Below are 22510 nucleotides of genomic sequence, written 5' to 3'. Positions count from 1 at the left end.
CACGGTAGAGAGTGTGATGCCTCCTTCCAGGCCACATCTGCACTGCGAGCTCTAAGCAGGGCAGGGGACCTCGGAGGCTGAGCAGCTGAGCACAAGGCTGGCCCTGAGCAGGAAAAGCCACTCCTCACTAGGGAACCAGGCACCAGGGTGGCCTGGGTTGGTGGGGCCTGGCATGTCAGGAAGCCAGCTGCTCTGCCACCCTTGCTGGGTGCTGTAGGGGGAAGGTGGCAAGGGGGTCCCACTTGGTAAAAAGGCAGGTGTCCTTGGGGGTCAGGCTCCCCTCCTCCTGGCCAAACTCCGTGGCTCCCCCAGCCCTGGAAGCTTGGGGGACACAGGGGCAGGGGGGCGCGCGGAGGACAGAAAATCACAAGGGAAACAGCAAAAGCTTACCATCCCCGCTTAGTCCCACCACAGGACCATCTAAGAATCAACGTCTGCAACCAAGGGAGAAGTGCGGCAGGAGGAACGCAGGGATACCGTCCCTGACAGCGACTTTCAAAGGGGGCGTTGGAGGATTTGGTGAATATTTCTGTGGGACGATGGTGAGGCTAAGAGGAAAGGGATGGAAAGCAGGCTCTGTTCTCTCTTGAAAGCAAATGGGAATCAGGAAACAATTAGAATTCTGAGATTAATTTGTTTTTTACAACGTTCCCCTGAATGGCTCTGCCAGGTTGCCCTCACTCCTTCACTCAGGCGCCTCCCTCCCCCTGGGGTGTGCCTACTTTTCTCCAAATGGAAGCAGTGACTGTTACAGGCAGGACCCCCTTGTCTCTGTCTGTGGGCTCCGGGTGGAAGCTTCTGCCCTGTGATTCTCAGCAGGCTGGTGAGTGACAAGGAGGCCACCACGTGCCCATGGTACTCCAAGAAATGGGCCAGAGCTAAAATCCCAGAGCATGTGTGTGTGTGGCAGCGGCTGGCCCCATTCCCCTGTGGAGAGTCAGGCCTTCCCAGGAATGACTGCATGGGTGAGATTCCCCCACTCACACCCCAAAGTTCCTAGGACCCCCAGAGGATTGATGGGTGTCTGCTGGTCAGACAAATGCACCAGGTGCTGCCTGCTCTGAGCTCTTACAGGGCCTCGGGAATTTTTGAGACATGTGGCTCAGGACGTGTTCAGGTGGCAGCCTGATATTAGGGAGCCAGCTGGTGACTTGGGATAAGTCACACCCCACCCCACGTTTCTGTGCCCCAGGTTCCTCCATCTCTGAAAGGACACTGCTCGGCCAGGCGGCCTCCAGAGGGACTTCCGGCACCACTGGCTTGAAATGGGGTCCTGCAGGGAGCCTGTGATTCCAGCGCAGCCTGGTGGCCCTGGGGACAGTGGCCTGTTTGCTCCCCATGCTATGGACGTCTCCCGTGCTTTCTGCATCCCTGTCTGCTTTGATGGCACGGCAGGCACGCTTTTGGATGCCCCACACATGGGGCGTTCGCCGTCAGGGTCTGGAGGGTCAGTAGGCAGGGTGCAGTCAGGCGACTGCGGAGCCGTCTTCCGGATCCCCGCCCCTCTCTCCCCCCTCCGTGACTCATGCCTCTGACCCCGGCTTGCCTGCTGCGCCTGAGAAGGAGGAATCCTGCTGGGAATGTGGGAATGACCATATTTACAACGCCGGGGCTCCCGGTGGCTATTGGCCTGGCCTGGCTCCTCCAGGGGAGCGAGGACTTCACGCCAGCTGGAAGCCAGGCTGTCTCTCTCCCTCAGCTTGGGCTTGGCTTCAGGGACCCAGGCTGACTGTGCTTGGAATGGCCTGTCTGGCAAGGAGGAGTCAGCCCAAGGAAACCAGGGGAGAGGGCGAGCTTGTCTGCAGCGGACCAGGCCGGCTCCTTCCTGCTTGGAGCCCCCAGCATCACTGCCAGAGAGGCCACCCTGCAGAGCCTCTCCCTGTCCACCTGGCAACCCCCAGGCTCTCCAGGGCGGGCTCTACCGGGGCTGAGGCCGCAGAGTCTGACCGGTCCGTCAGGATCTACCCCACCCTCTTCCTCTCTGCGAGACCTTCCCGTTTCCCCACGATGAGTGTCCTGGGAGCACTGCAAAGGGACCGCTCCCAACTTTCAGAGACAGCGAGGGCTGGCCAGCCACGAGCAGCCAGATGGCAGGAGAGCATCCCACCGCTCCCAGTACCTGGGCCCTGCAAGTCCAGGAACCCTTTCAACCCGTGAGTCACAACTTCTCCAGATGCCACCAAATTCAGTCTCCAAACAAAACCCATGAGTGGAAGATGATGGAACACGAACCGCCCTGCGGGCCCCGTTTCCAGCTGGTGGTGCTGGAGGGCCTTCTGGGGGCCACCTGGCCAAGCAGTGTCTTTTCAGACATGGAGAGAATGGGGCCACAGGAAAGTGAGGAAGGGCCTGACATCCCAAGTCACCAAGTGGGTGCAGAATCTCCCCCAGAACGCAAGTCAGCTAAGCCCTGGGCTGGAAATACCTTTTGTATCCACAGCACTGACACACTGGTCCAAGCCAGGGGCGTGAACTTTACAAATGTCTTTTGACAGAACACATGACTATCTGAAGACACAGCCTTCTCAGTGGCAGCGGCAGTGGCAGCAGCAGCAACAGCAGCAGCAGCGAACGAAAATATGGACAGAAGGGCTGCCGGTGTCGGGCGCTCTGCCTGACGCAGGCACGTGCCTCAGCCAGCTCACAGTTCATATGGGGAGACAAGCAGCAGAACAAATCACTATCACAAAAATGTAATAATAAAAGTACAATAAAAGTACGTTCAGGTCTGCAACAAGCTTGCTATGAAATATAAATATAGGTGATGACTGCAAATGTATTATTATAATACAGAGATTAAAAGGTCCATAATAAACATACAGGGAAGGTGACAGTTATGTTTCTGAGGGTTTGGAGAGCTCGTCACAGAATTCGGGATTGCAGCCAGGTCTTCAAGGAGATCAGTCCCAGTTGAGAGGGGTGGAAGGGCCTCGTGGGCACAGGCAGAGATGGGAGGCACAGCCAGGAAGGTGGGGAGAGGGATCTGGGGGTAAAGACAGCATTGACTCTGGGGAGGAGGCAGGAATTGGTGGGACTCCCCAAAGCGACAAGGAGGCCAGGAAAGGTTTGGGGGGCCACAGACACCATCAGATCTCTCTGTCAGAGGTAGCTCTGGCTGGCAGGGGACAGACCCCGAGGTGGGGCCTGGGCAGGGCGGCTCCCCCAATGGCCCAGAGGGAGGCCAGGACCACATGGAGACAGCAGCTGTGCAGGCGGCAAGGGGCCACCCACCAGACACAGTGACCCGCTGAGTGTGGGGGTGGCAAGGGGCCGCTCAGGGGCCCAGCTTGGGTGGCTGGGTGCATCCTGACCCAGAAGCTAGACTCAGATCTAGAGAGGAGGAGTCATCTCGGGGGCAACAAGACCCGTGTCAGCCACGTGGAGCTGCTGGAGTCCTCAGGACACCCTGAAGGGCAGTTCACTCAGCAAAGGGACATGCTGGGAACCCCGGAAGAGGGTGGGGGCTTCAGAGGCAGATTCTCCAGACTGAGGCCAACTTTATTCTCCCCTTGGAGAGAGGAGGAATCGGCACAGAGGTTGAGATGCTTGCTTTGCTAGGATTTGAACCCAGGCCTCTGGATTCCCAAGATGGGCTCAGATTCCTGGTCTACACCTCCATCCATGGCAGAACTGGAGGAGGCAGATATTTAGGGGCAAGCGGAGGGAGAGGCTGGGAAGGAGGCACGTGGTAGGAGAGGCAAGGCCGGGGAGAACTGACACCAGGGGGTGTCAAGGGAGGGCTGGAGAGCACCACCCCCTGCTAGCAGGAGGACGGCGCGTCGTAAAGGTCACCAGGGTCCAGGACTTCAGAAGAGCAGGCTCAGCCGGGTGCAGGCTGCCGCGGAGGCCAGGAGGTCGGCGCTCCTTGGGAATGGTCTTCCACACGTTTGGTGGGACAGCGAAAGTGCCAGAAGCTGCGAACAATGGCGGCCGGCGATCGGCGCTTCCTGAGTGCCGGACCCCACACTGTATGTCTGGGATTCGGCTGAAGACTCTCAACCATCTCACGCAATCGGTGCGCCCGTGTTCCAGGTTCTGAGCCTGAGCACACGGAGGCTTTGAGAGGCAGGAAGCCACTCTGCTCAGAGAGCGGAGGAACAAAGCCCTGGGAATTAAGCCTAGGTGTCCAGGCTCCGGGGCCTGTTTTCAGAGTGGAGAGGCACAGGCTGTGCTTCTGGGGAGGGCGGGGCCTGGAAAGTGTGGCAGAATGATTCTGGGACTGTCTCCCTTGAACAATTTTTAACTGGGGGATATAAAACTGTTCTGAATAATTAAACAACGCTGACCATAAGCCATATCTGTAACCAGGGCCAGCTTTTAGTCCTTCAAATTAATCTTGAAAAAAATAGGCCGTTTTTAAAATGCGAAACTGTGTACAAGAGTAACTCTACTTAAATGTTTTATTGGGCAGTCTTTTTTTCAAATGCCTCTGATAAAATAAGCTATTTTTGAAATTTTTTGCATCTATTCACCTATATTCAGAAGAATGCAAAAACCTAAGCAATGGGAAGAATCCTCCTATAATTCAATGCCAGGTCCCAGAAATCCCTGGGAACTCAGATTTCAGCTGAAGGTGTGGCAGAGGTGCTTTTAGGCCTGCAGAGTTGGAGTTTCTGGCGGAGCAGTTGGGGGCGTGGTTAACCAGACCATTCTGCAACAGGGACAGGCCTTTTGCTTCCCAAGCTCTGGACTCAGTTACTTTTAGCCCATTTCAGATTCTCAAACTTCTGCACCACATGAATAAAACTGATCTCTGTTGAGAAACACATCATATTAAGAAATCAACTAGCACACACTAAGTGTTGAAGACTTTGCCTCAGTTAAGGTAAAATCAGCTAGTAGAGGCCTGTGGTGGTGATTGGAAAAAAACATATTAGAAGGCCGGTTGCGGCGGCTCACACCTGTAATCCTAGCACTTTGGGAGGCTGAGGCAGGCAGATTCCCTGATTTCAGGAATTCAAGACCAGCCTGGGTAACATGGTGAAATCCCGTCTCTACTAAAATACAAAAAATTAGCCAGGCGTGGTGGTGGTCGCCTGTAGTCCCAGCTACTCGGGGGGCTGAGGCAGGAGAATTGCTTGAATCTGGGAGGCGGAGGTTGCAGTGAGCCGAGATCACGCCACTGCACTCCAGCCTGGGCGACAGAGCAAGATTCCATCTCAAAAAAAACAAAAACAAAACAAAACAAACAAAAAACCATATTAGAGGGAAAAAGTAAATTTCAGGGGCAGGACAGGATGAGTGAACAGCCCAGGCTGGACAGGCGACTGGGGAAGGTCCTGGCTGGTGATCGGCGGAGCACCTGTGTATCTTCTCACGGGTAACACGTGGTGCAGCGCACGTGCTCCCAGGCCAGGGCCCCCTCCTCGTGCCGCCTCCGCATTTCCACCTGGACCTCTGTTTCTCTCTGTCCTGAGGCTTGCGGGCTCTCAGGTGTCTGCGTTCCGCCGTGAGGTGAGCCGGAGTCTCTCACCCGCTGAGTCCTGGGGAAGGACTCACCCTTCCGGTGGTTGCCTGGCTCAGCCCATGTACAGTCAGGGTCCCGAGGGCAGGTGGGAGTGGCTGCTGCAGGCGGGTTCCAGTCCACACACCGGCACATAACAGAGAACACAGCACCCGCATGGCTCAGCGGCAAGCACATGCTGAAGAGGAAGGGATAAGTGGTCAGCGGCTCCGTGAACGAACTCCAGGGCTAAATTTCAGTGGTCCCGCCTTGCGCAGGTGCACAAATACAGCTTGTCCTACATAGCCCAATCTTCCCACACGCAGTGGCTGCTCATTCACACAGAAAGACATCCCCGCGGACTCCGCAGACCCAGCGCCTGGGTCTCTAGGAGCAAACAGAGGAAGGCAGTGAGGCAGCGGAGACACGGAGAATAGCGGGGTTTTTGGACTCAAGCCTGGAAAATGTGCACGCCTCTGCCTTCCCAGCTTCCAGCTCCCAGAGTGAGGGTGCTGTCAGCCAGCCAAGGATGACCCTCGAACCTTCTCGCTTTCTTGTCTCAAGGCCCCCACCTGCCTTTCAGGACCTCGGCCTCCTCCTGGGGGAAACCGTCCCCCTGTTCACATGCCTCCTAGATCTGCCAGGGGAAGGACGTTTGCCAGACCGTCCTCTCACCCTCCAGCTCCCCCTACACTGGAACACAGACACCTGGGAGCCCGCAGGCCTCAGGACAGCACACAGAGACACAGAAGTCCAGGCCGAAATGCAGACCAGAACAAGGAATAGGCCATGCCGGCCAAGCCCCAGGTTCCTTTTGAGGAGACACACAGGTGCTCGGCCAGTCATCAGCCATGACCAGTGATATCCCCACTGGGCACAGTGAGGGCGCTGGGCCTGAAGGCCGTTCACAAGCACAGCTCTGCTGTCCACTGAGAGAGGTTTACCAGGAGTCCGAATGCTCCCGATAGGGTCAAGGTGGCCTCGCTGATCTAAGAGCACCTGGAGCTGGGGACGGCTCTGGAAAACGTGTTCGAGATCTCCTGCATCAGACTCTAACAAAAGGCTGCAATTCCTGACATTTCATTTTTGAGATCAGACTGCGAATGTCATGATCCACAAATCTAATCGACGTCCTCCGTCTAAAAGTGGTGAGTGAACTGCAGAACTGAGAGCTGGACCACGCCGAAGCTCGGGGGATCCGAGAACAGGAGTGAAAGTGCACGGATTCTTATCAGCCCACAAATAGCTGGCAAGGTCCCGGGGTGCAGGTGAGACTACCCCGTGGCATCTGAGAACTTTAAGGAGTCGAGTGTCTCAGTGCTGTTTGTGATGACGGTGGGCAGAACGATTTCAATCTGGGAAGGGCAGACCCTGGGAGAACAGATCCCTCAGAGCCTTCTCAGGCTGTCTTTGATGCGAGAGCTTAGAGACTAATCCCCCTGCCCCAGAAGACTCGCAGCCTCAAGGGTCAAGTAAAGAGATACAGAAATATAGTCGTGATTACTCAATTTTTAAAAATTCGGCATTCCTGCAATAAAACCCCGTTTATAAACTGTAGCATGCTCCAACAAGTCTTATGGCATTTGATTTTATTTTCAATGTGTTTTTGAATATTCTATATTTTCCTAAACAGTGAATTTTTTTCCAGAACTAGAAAATGACATGAATGAGAGTTGGCCACACATGCACACACATTTCTGGTCATACCTCTGGAACAAAAACCCTAAGTGGGGAAGGATCACCTGGATCGTGTGGCTTTAGAATGCGTTCCCTCTTTTTTACAAGGCTTGTGCAATCACGGGCTCTCAGTGGCCGTCTCCTAAGTGAGGATCTGATGGGGAGGTGCCGGACTTTCACCCAGGCTCTGGAGGGTGCCTGCCCCGCGCAGGCCGGGCTGTGCTCTCACTGTGCCGGTCCTGCACAGAGCAGCGGTCAGCGTCTGTGGGGATACAGGCTGGAGTGGCCACAAGCATGGCAGGTGGCCTGGCTGACCCCAGCCCAGCAGGCTCCTGGCTGTGTGGCATCCCCTGGTGCTGCCACCTCCCTGACCACGTGCAGAGGCCAATGCAGGCCTTTGCTCCGGATGCTCCACTGCCCCAGGTGAACCTCGCTCTCCAGGGATGTCTTTAAGAACGTATCCTCCACGCAGCTGTCCTCGAAAACTAAGCCCTGGGAGCAGGCTCCCCCTGGCCCATTTGCACCTCTGTGAAGGCACAGGCCAGGCTGGGCAGCCTCCGCACAGGCCAGGCTGGGCAGCCTCCACCCAGGCAGCTCTTCTCTCCAGCCAGCCGGGCACCCTCGCCGACATGTGGGTTCTTACACTTATATATCATCCTTGGCAATCCATTTCTCATCTATAAAATGGGCTGGTACTACCTGCCCTGCAAGTGGGAGAACACGTAGCAGGTGCTCACTTAATATTAAGAAATCTGTAATGAACGCACTGAGTATCAGAGCATCAGAGCCGTCATTTACAAATGTGGCCACCAGCCTGTGAGGGGTGGAATCCTACTCCATGTTACGACTGCAATGGGGCCGTAGAGGACTATTCACTGCAGCTTAGATAACTCAGGTAACTATGAAGGAATAAATACAAATATAATTTTATTTGAGATGAGACAACTCAACAACAAATATCTATCATGCGCAAAGTGAGCACGGAGCTCTGCTCTGGACCCAAGAAACACAGGGATGGGTGGGGGACAGTTTGGGCTCTGGAAGAGCAGGCTGGTAGTGGCTTTAGGGTCTTTGATATTTATATATCTGGTATACACATATTATACACACCCACCATCTACAGTTTATGTACATATGGTACACACGTCTATGTGTATATATATGTGTGTATATATAAATATATGTACCATATATACATGCAGATACACATATACACACACTGCTTCTCTAAGGAGGGCCACCCTTGTCCCAAGTTTGCCCGAGTCATGATTTACTGAATTCATGGTTTGAGGGTGGAGATTTTACACTCACATTGTTCCTACCCAGTCCACGATTCAGAATTCAGTGTAATTCGGGGAACTGAATGACAGTCCAATCAAACCTGGCTCTTCTTTTGGGCTGGACTTCTAAGATTGCCTTCAGGAGTCCTCTGTGGGATCCAGGGCTCCAGGGATGGCCACTTCCTGCCCTATGATGCCTGCTGCCACCCTGGGAATGTGTGACCAGGACAGACCCAAGGATGACACTGGAATTTTTTTAAGAGAACATTTACAACCATTTGCGTGTCAAAGAACATCTCCAGTCTCCTCCTCTCTGCTAGAATCAGCCTGGACAGTCATTGGACAGTCATTGGTGGGAATCTCATATGCACGTGTGACATGCATAGCTGTGTATTTTTCCAAATATTCACATTTACTTCTTCATGAGTTGCAACAATGTGCCTGAGTTTGAAAGCCAGAAATGACTGATTTTGGTTGAAATATGGCAGAGCTAAGATCTAGGGATCCTGAACAGGACTTCGCCGTTATTATGCAAGCTGCATAGTGAACTGAAGTCTCCAAATGCTTGCTACAATATTTCTGACTAAATCAGGGGCTACGACTTCTTATACTCCTTACGTGGGAATCATCCTTCCCTTAAATGGCCATTTTTAATGCATGTAATTACCACTTAAACTTCATCTCAACATCCTTGAGTAATTTCTTTTTCTAATACAGACCCCATGAATATACAGAGTGGTGTCAAAGTCGATGTTTATAAGGGAATCCAGCCATCTACTTTCAATCCTTGGTCCAGAAATCCACCTCCCTCCCAGGTTGTCTTTAATCAAGCTTTGTCAATAAATAGATGTGATGCAGATGTTCTGTGCAGTTTTAAAGAATTCAGGTTGAATCTGCTTTAAAACAAAGCACGGCCCTGCAATCAAACAAGAAGGATGAAAGTGAGTAGAGGGAAGAACACTTCAACAAAACCTGAAATGGAGACAGGACTCTGAAAACAGGGCAGAAGACCTTGAGCCAAAGATAAGAATTCAAATAATGCTTAGGCAAAGTGCAAAATGGTTACATCTCTCAACATCCTAACATTTGAGTTACTTTAAAGAAATCTGGCATACAGAGCCACATTTAGTAAATAACAAATGAAGCTATGGTTACACCTTGGGAACATTTTGTGATTTGTAAAAAACTTGAGTGAAAAGTGTCTTTCGGAACTGAGCTCCTCTCACATGAATTTTAAATGGCCCACCCGTTTCACATGCAAAGTCTGCCTGCATAAGGCTTTCAGGACAACACGAGAGGCGGCCGTGGGTTATGAGATGGTTTTCCTGCTCATGTCAGTGCTGTGTCAGGCAGAACAAGTTAGGCTTCACGCTGCAACAAAGAAGCCCCTGAATCTCAGGAGGTTCATGCAGCAGTCGTTTGCTTCTTGCTCATTCAGGTTGGCAGGGACTCTGCTCCACGCAGTCACGAAGGGACTCAGGCTGGTAGAGCCTCCACAGTCTTGAGAACCTGTGGCCTCTTCAGGCACTTGGGGCAGCAGAAGAGACCTGACGTCCTGCACACAGCTTCTTCTGAACTTTAGCCTGGAAGCTGCACCGAGGCTTCCTCCCAAATCTCATTGGCTGGAACTAGTCCTATGGCCCTGCCTAACCACAGGGGCTCTGAGGAGTGTGAAGGGAGAGAGTCGACTTTCCAGAGGACCACCAAGTCTGCCTCCAGTGCCAAAGCAAGGGTTTTAAAACAAAGGATTGTCTAAAACAAACAAAAAAGTAATTTGTAGATGGCATTTGAGAAACTGATAATTTAATTGCATTAATTTCAGCCAAATGCCAGGATTTGATTCCTAAACATGCCCAGGGCACCAGAATCTGGCCGGAAGAGTGTAAGTCTCATGGGGAAAGAGACAGAGAGAGCGAGATACTGAATGAGCCCATGAAAAAGCTTAACTGACCTACATCAACAGAGACACAGGATTAAATTGATAATGAGGGAGTCGTACTCATTCAGTTACCTTCATGTTTTATTAAGATGATGTGGTGGGGTGGAAGAGAGGAAATGAGGGTTATTACCGGGCGCCCCTCTGTGTCCTCTTCCTCCTCTAAGGGGTGGGACACCGAGATGGTGTTGGCAGTGTTGCTGGTGTGCATGCTCCACTGGGCATGAGTACCCTTAGGAGCTCAAATGATAGAGTCAGCACCAGAGTCTCTGCTTCATGTTCCAAGACCTTGGTGAAGGTTCATTTTCTGAACTTGAAAAAACAACTCCAAGATGTATGAGTGGATTCGCCTTTCCCCAAAGTCCTCTTGTGGCATCTCTGTCCTGGGTTGTTACAAATGATTCAAGCATGTTCTTAGCCATTGCTAATGTGCTCACTCCCGCCAACGTTTCGTGGGCTGTCTTGACCAAACACTGCCCCCTCTTCCTCTTCGCTCTGTTTGGTAGCAGAAGGTCTGGCAATGGCAGCATCATTCAGAATCTCCTCTGGTGGGAAGAGTCTCTTGTTACTGGAAATCTGTGGTGAGAACAGAGCCCCCACTGCCCAAACACATGGCCCTTCCAACGTTGCACCCCCACCTGCCCTCTGTCTCCACCCTTCGCTCCACTCAACCGGTAGGTGGCTCCCAGAATCACTCACCGAGATAAGCACTGGAGCCTCAAACCTCCCATGCCCCCGGGGCTCCAGACAATAGCCCAGAAGTGTACTTCCTTAGATTTGGGGTGAGGTGAGCTTGCGTTGGGGGAGGGAATACCACGTACACATGGGCTCATCTTTAAGGCACTAACAACCCTTACGGCATCTTCTGAGAGGAAATTCGAATTCTCCCTCATACTGTGTACGAGGGACCAGAGAAGTTTCATAAATGAAACTTTTAGCAAAACAAAAGGATGCAGAAAGAAACCACTTTTTCCCCAAACAGTCTACCCTCAGTTGTGGGTATCTGAACTGAGTAGAAAACATAATTAACACTAAGAAGAGCTCTGCCCTGGGGTTTTTGGTGCTTCAGAAGATAATGTCCTTTCCCTGCAGCCTGGGACTCAGAGCCCAGTAGAGGGTCAGGCAGTCATCGTGGGAGCTGTTCTGTTGTTTGTGGAACAAAGTTCACGGTGCATTTTATATCTTAGTGAGAAAATCATCAGTAATGTGATTTTTTTTTTTTTTTTTTGAGATGGAGTCTCACTCTGTCACCCAGGCTGGAGTGCAATGGCGCAATCTCGGCTCACTGCAACCTCCGCCTCCCAGGGTCAAGAGATTCTCCTGCCTTAGTCTCCTGAGTAGCTGGGATTACAGGCGTCTGCCACCATGCCCAGATAATTTTTGTATTTTTAGTAGAGATAGGTTTTCACCATGTTGTCTAGGCCTCAGTACAGCCTCTGGGCCTTCTCTGGGGGTGCAGACTGGAGCTGGTGAGCTCCAGGCCCCAAACATCTCAAAGTGCTAGGATTACAGGTGTGAGCCACCACGCCTAACCAGTAATGTGATTTTAAAACTGAGATTACAAATATACTTTAAAATGTATAAAACCCATTGGTTCTCTTTAAGATGTGATCCTGATAAGCCTCCCAGTCATACTCCCTTCATCTCCCCAGGGCTAGCCAAAGCATTTATAATGTGGCTTGCAGGACTCTTGGGGCTCCTGATGGTGAATTTGTACCATCACTCTCAATGGCACCTGGAATCTCTCCTGCTCTGCTCACAGGCACCAAACACCCACAAGACACTGGTACGGTGCAGTGTCTAGGACCAGACATCTTCTGTGTGCTATGGCTGACGCAGTAGACGTCAAGGACAGTAGATAGCTAGCAAGAAATAGCAGACTCATCAGTGTACATTTCTGGGCTGATTCTTCCCTTGGTCAAATGTGCACTGTAAAGCCACAAAAGGCCAGTTTTTTCATTTTCCACCACTTTGCCTGGACTAAATAAAGCAAGCTGAGTCGGGCAGCATGACGGCTTTGGCCAGGTACTGTGTGGCACTGAAGGAGGAGAGAGGGAAGACTGACCACCATCCAGGGGAGCCAGGCCCTCCAGCCTGCAAACGAGGCAGGGCGGGAATCAGGGTTCCACTCAGAAGACCCGGCCATGGGGACGCTGAGAGGGAGGGGGCACCTCATGCTCACAGTGGTGCAGCCTCCCTGCATCTGCACAATCTGGGAGGGCACTGAGGGCTGAGAGGCATGAGAAGGTGCAGAAGCTCCTAACGGACCAGGGCTGACCCCCACCCGCTCCAGGCTTCTCAGGAGAAACGTGTCTCCACGAGCGTGTGGACATTCTCTTCCATGGGGGGACGCTCCACTGATGCCCCTGGCCTGCTCTGCCCCTTACCCACACCACTCAGGGGAGCTGGAGTGACCTGCAGACTGGTGGGTTTGGGAAGAGTCAACTGGGTGTGCGCAGCTCAGCCCTGGAATCTTCCTCTGGCAGCAGTGAGCCGGCCCCAGGGAGCAGGCACTTTCCGGCCATGCTTCCGGAAGGCTCCCTGTGCTCCTGACCTGCGGGAGGCCTGCGAGGTACATTTTGCCAGCACTGGGGGCTAGGTCTGCTGGACCGTGGGACAGCAGCAGCCGGACCCTTCATCTGAGCCCTTCTCCATGATAGAGCTATGTTCCATGGGCCTCGCCTCTGCTGCCTGCCCCAGCCCCCTGGCAGGTGTGAAGGTGCCGTTCTCACCTCGCCAGCCCAGTCCGGTGGCCTGCGGGTGGCAACCACACCCTTGAACGTGCCCGTGAATCAGACCATGCCTAGAATCTTGTTCTGGGGCTTAAACCTGTACTTCTATGGCATGGCCAGGCAGGGGAGGGGAAGAAGCCCTACACGGAGAAGAGCCCTAGATTCAGAACATGCCCATGGCATGAAGCCACTCGCATGGGAAGCGGCCCTCCGGCCTCACCTGTGCCACTTGCTGTCTGGGGACCTTGGCCTGGTCTTGGCCTCACTGGGACCTCACTTCTCCAGGTGAAGGTGGAGAGCCCTGACTCAGAGTCTTGCAATCCCAGGCCCAGGAGCCTTGGGATCCCTGGGGCAGACTTGGCAGCCCACTGGCACTTCAGCCCAGGCACAACTGGCAGCCAACGACCCCATCTTAAAGAACTGGCTTGTAAGTGCCGGCCCCATTGTTTCCCAGAAGATGTTCAGCTGAGTAGGCACTCGGGGTGCCTTCTGTGGAGGGGCTGAACTTTGAGGACAGATTTCCGAAGGGAGGAAGGCTGGAAGAATTCGGATTAACCCTAGGGGAATTTGGATTAACCCTAGGGGAATTCAGATTAACCCCAGGGGAAAGGCCAATCACATTTAATGCAGAGGAGAAGGAAGGACGGAAACCACAGCGCGGCTCACGACTCCGGCTTCACCCAGCGACTCTGATCGGCCATGAATTACTGAAGCCTTGCAGATGCAGGAGGAGAGAAAAGCCACAGTTATGTGCATCTTACAGCTGGGAAACCAGCAACAACATAACCCTGTCAGCTTTTCATTCCTGAAAACCGCCTCCCTCTCCGCAAGGCATGGAATCAACATGGTCTTCCCCAGGGTCCTCTCAGGATCCTTGGAGCTGGGAATTCTTCTTACTCAACTCCCTCCGTGTGCTCGGAGCCCCTTCCTGGCCAGGCTTCTAGAAAATTCTTCTGCTCAAATGCTAAATGTTTTCCCTGATCTGTCTTCAAAATCCCCATCCTTCTCCTTCTATTGGAGTTAAAGGATAGGGAGTGATAAGGCTGGGCTTGGGCCATCTCCGCCTCGCTCTGCAGCTCTGGCATCTCCCGTCCCTTCTCCCCTCACTTTCTGTTTTTTTCTTCCCTTATTTTTCCTGTTTAATGTCAAGCGAGCCAGCTCAGCTCCTCAGAGACGACCAGCTACAGCAGCAAGCTGAGTGGATTTTAAATCAGCAGAGAATTTTTAAAATGAGCAATGTGGTGAACGGAGCCCATCTGCAGCCCTGTGGGGCCCTGGCTGGCTCCCACGGTGTTCGTGGATCCTGCATGTCTCCACGAGGATAAACAGTCCACGAGGGGTGACTGCCTGGGGGGAGGAACCGTCACCAGCCCAATCCTGGTAATAAAACAAGAGTCACATAAACACCGCGGCTGTCCTCCAAGGAACTTCGAGCACTACCCAAGTAAATAAAAAAGCAGAAAATGGAGGTTCAGAAACGCAAAGGCCCTGCTCGGGTTTCTAGAAGAATTCACAGAAAAACAGAACCTGGAGGAGAAGGAATCACAGAAGAAACATTCATGTCCATCTCACCCCCAAACTGGAGGGAATGATGTCAAGAGCTGCCCTCAAATCAGGAAGGGCTCAGACATCTGCACCCTGGACCACACCTCCCTGACCTACATCCATCCAGGGGGCACACCTGGACCACGGTCATCTGCCCCTCAGCTCTGACTGCCCCAGCTTCCAGCAGAGCAACCCAGAAAGCATCCTTTGACTTTGTTGAAAGAAGCTTTGATCATGGAGGACTTTTAAAATCAAGATATCACTTCCCAGGACTCCAAGCAGACAGGCTCCCAGGAAGTTCCCTCATCATGGGACAAAAGGAATATGTAAGTTACAAACGCATTTGCTCCTTTCAAGAAGGAGTTTTCCCCATGAATTTAAGTGTTTTTACAGATCATTAACTCCTGGTCTGGAAGGCAGGGCACCAAGGCAAGCTAAGCTGGAGTGTGAGTCGGTGCTGCCTTGGAGGCCAATCGGAGTCAAGGTGAAGAGGCTCAAATGATCCTAACATGAGTCAATGTTACCCCAAATTAAATTTACACATGCTTCTCCAGAGCTGTCTGTTTTGTAAGGCAGGGCACCCTGGCACAGCACAGGACACAAGGCGTTTGCATTTCTGTCCAGGCTGCAGTCTAAAAGTGGAAAAAAGTACTGATCTGTTTTCCAGCCACCACCCTATTGAATGGTCTCAGAGGTTTTGGGTCCAGTTAACACAGGTAGGCACTGGATGGGCTGGAAAGAGGCCAGGGACTCCCACGCTCTCGGGAAGCACAGGACAGTGCACTGTGCAGACAGCAGACCCTCAGGCTCAGGAGACCTGGGCTGCTGCTGGGAGAGGAGGGAAAAGAGCCCCCCAGGGAAAAGAAGGCAAGTGGGGCTTGGTGTATGAACAGGGACCTGGGAGCCAGAGGCCCAGGGTTAAATCTGACTTGCCATGTGCCCCTAAATAAGACCATAAGAGAGACACAGAGACACAGACAGAGAGAGAGAGACAGAAACAGAGTCAGGCAGACAGACAGGGACACAGAGACAGACACACAGAGAGACACAGTCAGACAGAGGAAGAGAGACAGATGGAGAGAGAGACAGGAAGAGAAAAACCAGGCAGTCCCTTCACAGAGTGGCTGTGATGCCCACGGGCTCTCATGGATGGAAAACCCAGGCACACAGCAGGTGGCACCTTCTCCTCCCTCAAGCCCTCGTCATGTCCAGTGTTCCCATCTAAAGGCCAAGTGGCTCCTCCGGATAACATTTCCTTATGTAGGGATTTATAGATGCAGCATTCCTGCTGGGACTTGGGCTGTGCAGGACTGCAGATGTGAGAGACGCTCAAGAGGGGCCGAGATGGGGATGCAGACAGCTCAGACCCAGGACACCAGCCCAGCCCAGCCAGAACTAATGCTGGCACTAATACTAACACTAATGCTAATAAATACTAACTAATGCTAATAAATACTAACACTGACACTAATACTAATAAATTCTAACGCTAATACTAATAAATACTAACACCAACACTAATACTAACAAATACTAACACCAACATTAATACTAACACACTAATAGATACTAACACTAATACTCACACTAACACTAATACTAATAAATACCGACACTAATACTAACACTAACACTGACACTGACACTAATAAATAGTAACTAATACTAATAAATACTAACACTAACACTAATACTAACACTGACACTAATGCTAATATTAACACCAACACTAACACTAATACTAATAGATACTAACATTAATACTAATGCTAACACTAATAAATACACTAATACTGACACTAACACTAATACTAATACTGACACTAACACTAAGACTAACAGTAACACTAATACTAATAAATACTAACACTAATACTAACATAACACTAATACTAATACTAACAGTAATACTAATACTAATAAATACTAACACTAACACTAATACCAATACTAACACACTAATACTAATGCTGACACTAACACTAACACTGACACTAATAAATAGTAACTAATACTAATAAATACTAACACTAACACTAATGCTAATAAATATTACCAACACTAACACTAATAAATACTAACACTAACATTAATACTAATGCTAACACAAATAAATACTAACACTAATACTGACACTAACACTAATAATAATAAATACCAACACTAACACTAACAATAACACTAACACTAATAAATACTAGTACTAACACTAATACCAATAAATACTAACACTAATACTAATAAATACTAACACTAACACTAATACTAACACTGACACTAATGCTAATATTAACACCAACACTAACACTAATACTAATAGATACTAACATTAATACTAATGCTAACACTAATAAATACACTAATACTGACACTAACACTAATACTAATACTGACACTAACACTAAGACTAACAGTAACACTAATACTAATAAATACTAACACTAATACTAACATAACACTAATACTAATACTAACAGTAATACTAATACTAATAAATACTAACACTAACACTAATACCAATACTAACACACTAATACTAATGCTGACACTAACACTAACACTGACACTAATAAATAGTAACTAATACTAATAAATACTAACACTAACACTAATGCTAATAAATATTACCAACACTAACACTAATAAATACTAACACTAACATTAATACTAATGCTAACACAAATAAATACTAACACTAATACTGACACTAACACTAATAATAATAAATACCAACACTAACACTAACAATAACACTAACACTAATAAATACTAGTACTAACACTAATACCAATAAATACTAACACTAATACTAATAAATACTAACACTAATACTAATACTAACAGTAACACCAATACCAATAAATACTAACACTAACACCAATACCAATAAATACTAACACTAACACTAACACACTAATACTAACGCTAGCACGAGTATAAATAAATACTAACACTAATATCAAAACTAACACCAACACTAATACTAACACTAACACTCACACTAAATAACGCCCTACAATGTTGGCAGCCCAGAGCCCCGTGAAGGTCCCTCTCTGCCTGCAGGGCAAGCACTCTCCATAGGGAATTCATTCCTCCTGGGTTTTGAACCATGCCCCAGCTGGCAGTCTTAGCAGATCCTCCACATAAACTATCTCTGCCTCTCCCTCTGTGCAGAATGCTCTCTGCACCTCTGAGTGCTGGTCAGTGCTGCCTCCTCTAGGAAGCCCTCCCTGACCACACCACACCAGGACAGCCAATCATGCCCTTCTGCAGGTCCAGGGAACTTCCCACAGGTACTGCCTGTGTGGGGCAAGGTCTGGCAGGGCTGTCCATGTCCACAACTCAACAGCTGGTGCTTGACCCAGCTGGTGCAGGATGGCCAGGGGATCCTGCTAACCACTAACTTGACACTAGATCCCTGGTTTCTGGGCAAGTGATTTGCAGCGCATGCCTTCCTAGCTGGGCATGTCAGAATAGGGGATGGGTAGTGGGGCAGAGCAAGGAAGGGGCATTTTAGGAAACTCCACAAGTGACCCTAAGGAGTGGTGAGTGTGGCCTAGTGGCCAGGTAGTCCCGGCTGGAGGGAGGTGTGCATTTGCTGGACAGGATGACCACATGACCCAACATGTAGAATGAGAAGCTTTGGGAGTGAAAGGGGCACTATTAATAATCACGACTGGAGAACCAGAGGAAACCAGAACAGTCGTGGGCTGACAGGGAGGGACTGTCACCTTTTCAAGAGGTCATCCACTTCTGATGTTCTACCCCCACCCCCACTCAGCCCAGCAGAGCCCTGATTATTGGTCTCATCAAGAAGGTACTGACTCCAAGCCTCTCTAAGACACATGGGTCTAGGTAAGGCAAGGTCAGAGCCCCACCAGGAGGGGCTCACAGTCTCAGAGGGGACAGAGCCAGGAAGGCTGTGTGTCCGCCCAGGACGGCCGAGACAACCTCAGTCAGCTTGCCTTTTGTGCTCGCTGGATTCTTCTCTGTATAAAGCATACATGCGACATGGTATTATACAATTAGAATTTTTTTAAACTATGGTCTCACTTTTCATCCTTGGGTGTTTGAGCCCTTCTGCACAATTACATGCCCTCATTGGTATGTTTAATTATCTGAGTTCTTACTGCAGGCTCCAACATTAACATTTAAAGAAACATTAGAGGAAAGTCAGCTCCTGAAGGTGGAGGACTATAAAGAGAGAACACACTGAGTTTCCAGCTGAAAGCACGGACCCCCCACTGCTGGGACAGCCTCCTCTCCTCTCCACTCAATTTGTCCCCATGGTCACAGACAGTTATTAGCGCCTGTGTTTCAGAATTAAATCTGTGCATTGCTATTGTTCTCAGAGAAAGGTTTGTGTTCTGCGTTACCTCCTGGAGGAATAAACTCCAGGTTAACATGAGGAGCACAACTTCACTGCAGAAAAAGATCAACAGGGGCTGCTACCTACACCATGCCAGAGCCCTACAGCAAGTGGCGAGAGGTGACCCTTGTCCCCACAGGCTGGCCTCTGACAATCACCAGGACCTGGGATGCCGAATGGGTCTGCAGATTCCCATGGCCTTAATAAGCTCTGGAGGCCATGCTGCACTAGGATGAGGAGCCGACATCCTCTTTTTCTCATCACACTCTGGCGTTTATACTCTCTGGTGGCCATTTCACTCTAGATTAGAAAATTGTAGGAAAAAGTAAAGTGTAACAATAACTGTAAAAGGCAAGAGTGGGCTGCCTGCAAGCCAGACCCAGATAAGTGAGCTTTGGGGTGGCTGATGTCCTGGGCCCCCACTGGTGGCACAGGGATCCAGGGGTTAACTATTGAATTGCTGGTGCGTGGACAGGGAGGGGTACAGTGGGGGAGAGGGCACCATGAGAGCTGTTTACCAACTAACAGAGAACATCAGCCTTTAACGACATCCTGGGCTGTTCTTGGGTAGACCTGCACAAAACCAGCCTCCAGGTCATTCCTTTTTGGAATTATGCTCCGCATAATCCACCGTCTTCATGGCCATTGTCTCCTTTACCCTGTACCTGAATAGGACAAACATCAGGGTTGTTCCTGAGCTCTCCACAGTTCCATTTCATTGCGTTTTCTGCCTGGCCCCCAGTGCACCCAGTAATTTGAATATTAAAGTTCTGGATTACAGTCCCTGGCAGCACAAAACCTCTCTCCTCACTTTTCTTTTTCATAAGTTTCTTGGACGTGTTTGCTCTCTTAGTCTTCCAGGTGCACCTGAAAATAATTTTATTGAATTAAACATTTCATTAAATATATAAATTAAATTGTAAAAGAAATGATATGTTCACAGTAGTATGTATTTCCAAACAGAGTCCTAATAAATAGAGCTCCTCATTCAAAAAATATTCTATTGGACTCTCTAGCTAAGAGATTTTTCTTCATAAAAGTCCTCCATATTTCTCACTAAACATATATAAGGATCTCATAAGCATAAATATTTTTGTTTGTGTGAATGACATCTTTTTGTTTCATTATGTGATTGAATTGCTTATTGCTGGTGTGTGTAAGAATGCTTGTGAAAAATTATCTTCACTTAGCAATTGCCTTCAGTCTAAATTGTTTCATTTGTTCTAAAGATTTTCAAATGATTTCTTTTTTTGATATGGGGTAGACAGCAAGGTTCTTAGTAGACAACTGTATCATCTACAAATGTTAATACTTTTATCTTCTGCTTGCCAATAGCCCTATGTCTATTTCTTTTTCATAATCCATATAGAATCATTCTTTAAAGTTTGAGACAATGTTACAAAACAGTATACTGGCGAGAAACCTGCTGACTTTTATACAAAAGACTTGAGTGCTACCTAGGATTTTGTTGTTGCTGTTTTGAGATGGAATCTTGCTCTGTCTCCCAGGCTGGAGCGCAGTGGCACGATCTCAGCTCACTGCAACCTCCACCTCCTGGGCTCAAGCAATTCTCCTGCGTCAGCCTCCTGAGTAGCTGGGACCACAGGTAAGCGCCACCACGCCCAGCTAATTTTTTGTATTTTTAGTAGAGACGGGGGTCTCAGCATGTTGGCCAGGCTAGTCTCAAACTCCTGACCTCAGGTGATCCGCTGAAGGTAAGGAAGAATCTCTTTATGATAGCTTATTGAGATTTTAAACATCAGACAGGGAGGTTTTAATAACAGAAATATGTTAAATTTTTCTCAGATGCATTTTAGTATCTCGAGTCGATTCCCTTTATTCCCTTTTTTGACTATAGATGTGCCTCATTGCATACATGAATCCAAGAATCTGAGCAATCTGAATGCTTTTGACACATATTGCCAAAGTGTGTCAAAAACCTGGCAAAGGCATCTGAATGCCCTGATATTCCACTAATAAATCCACCTTCTTCACAGCGCCCTATTCTTTTGGCATATTGCTGAGTGTACGTTTCTTATATTTTATCTAGAATTTAATCTAAGCTCCTACTGAGAGAGAGTTTCTCCTATCCCTGACAGGTTTTGGTAGATACCATGACAGATGCTCTGAGAGGCTTTCTCATCTTTATTTTTTCTAATCTAGCTGCTGCTGTGTTGGGGACTGTCCCCGAAGGCGGGACTTTGTCTCTGCCATCACTGCACCTTCGGCCTGACACAGCAGTGGGCTTAATAACTGAGTGGACAGTCCTAGAAAGCAGAAGGTGTTTACCCAGACAGGGAGCACTTGGAGCCTGCAGTCTCTTGTAGGGCCAGTTCAGGAGACACTTTGTAGTCATTTTTTCCCCTAAGTTTTATTCTTCCTAATTTCAAACTCCTTAGGAGTAAGGACAGTTCTGAGCTGCTGAGAGTCCCCTAGTGCCCTCTGCAGAGGCTGCCTGGGTGCCTGACTTGATTTCACTCTAGTGAGGTTCAGCCGTTCCTGAACTTCCCAAGCGGCTGTGTGGCCATCCGCCCTCCACCCACACCCACCCAACGGGGCAGTGACCGGTGCACTGGGAGGATTTCTGACAAGCACAGCTCACTGAGACAGATTTCCTTTCTGCCAGGGTCCCCCACGTCCACAGCTAGTGGGATGACGATGTGAACCCTGGCCAGGGCCTCGGGGTCCCCCACCCTCCCTGCACCCTGGCACCTGCTCCAGCCCTGCTGGATAGCAGAGCCCCACAAGCCACAGGCTCCCTCACCCGATTTATTTTTTCTCTATTGCATCAGAATCTTCTGAAGTAAACTTTCACTCGGGACAGAGCTGTGCTATTCCAGGGGTCTTTGCCAAGGATCTGTGAGGTAACCTTTCCATCTATTTATTTGTTTTTTTGGAACTTGGGGACAGGGGAGAAATGCGAAGAGACTCATGACCCCCAGAAACTCGGCTGAGTGACTGACATCATGGGAATTTGTCTGGCCTGATTTATGGCATTCCCGTGACCCCGGTCAGGGAGCTGAAGTTCACGGCACTTTCTTGGCTCCCATCTGTTTGTAAACGTCCAGCCCACTGGAAGCCAACCTCTGTTACAAGGTGATGTGCAACTCTGCATAGCTTCCCAACAAAGCAAACCAATGCCAGTAACGTGAAAAACAAAGCCACAGAGGATATACCCTTTACTGGGATGCTTGGCCAGCATCACATGGACTTCTAAATTTCCTCATCTTTGATCTTTTGGTTGAATCCATTTTCCGCTAGAGAGAAAGCTGCTGGAAGCTCAGTGACAAGTCTGACCCAGTGGGTGGTGCTGTTGGAGGAGTCTTGGAAGAGGCCGTCTTCTTCTTGGAGAAGACCCACAGCTGCACCTTCTGTCTCATCTGTGGTCAGGGCTCCTTAAAGGGCTGAGTGTCCACTATATCTCACCCCAGAGAAAAGAAAAGAGCTGGGTCCACCATGGCCTCAGACAGTGATGGACTCCAGATGTCCAATCTCTTCAGCCAGGGCTTGCCCAGTTGGGTCAAACCA

The 22510-nt window shown here is 49.8% G+C and overlaps 1 protein-coding gene across 2 annotated transcripts in view, besides 1 other annotated feature; it reads right to left on the bottom strand.

Moving 5' to 3' along the window:
• TWIST2 (twist family bHLH transcription factor 2) overlaps nucleotides 1-22510 on the bottom strand; it is a 62450-nt gene that overhangs the window by 12875 nt on the left and 27065 nt on the right. The window contains exon 2 of one of the 2 annotated variants that reach the window (NM_057179.3): nucleotides 10403-10881. The exons of the other annotated variant lie outside the window; for it this stretch is intronic. The gene's annotated coding sequence lies outside the window, so the exon portion shown is untranslated. Of the gene's footprint in view, nucleotides 1-10402; nucleotides 10882-22510 lie in introns of those variants that run through there. 2 annotated transcript variants of the gene reach the window in all.
• Nucleotides 6946-7467: an enhancer, noted in NCBI's record as "H3K4me1 hESC enhancer chr2:239798834-239799355 (GRCh37/hg19 assembly coordinates)". NCBI's record gives its function as "activates a minimal SCP1, AML or CMV promoter by ChIP-STARR-seq in primed H9 embryonic stem cells {active_cell/tissue: H9 hESC(primed)}" and the evidence as "EXISTENCE:reporter gene assay evidence [ECO:0000049][PMID:30033119]".

Source organism: Homo sapiens, chromosome 2 (genome assembly GCF_000001405.40).
Source record: "Homo sapiens chromosome 2, GRCh38.p14 Primary Assembly".
NCBI classification, from domain to species: domain Eukaryota; kingdom Metazoa; phylum Chordata; class Mammalia; order Primates; family Hominidae; genus Homo; species Homo sapiens.
The sequence above is the reverse complement of the archived record's forward strand: the minus strand, read 5'-3'. Positions and strand labels throughout refer to the sequence as shown.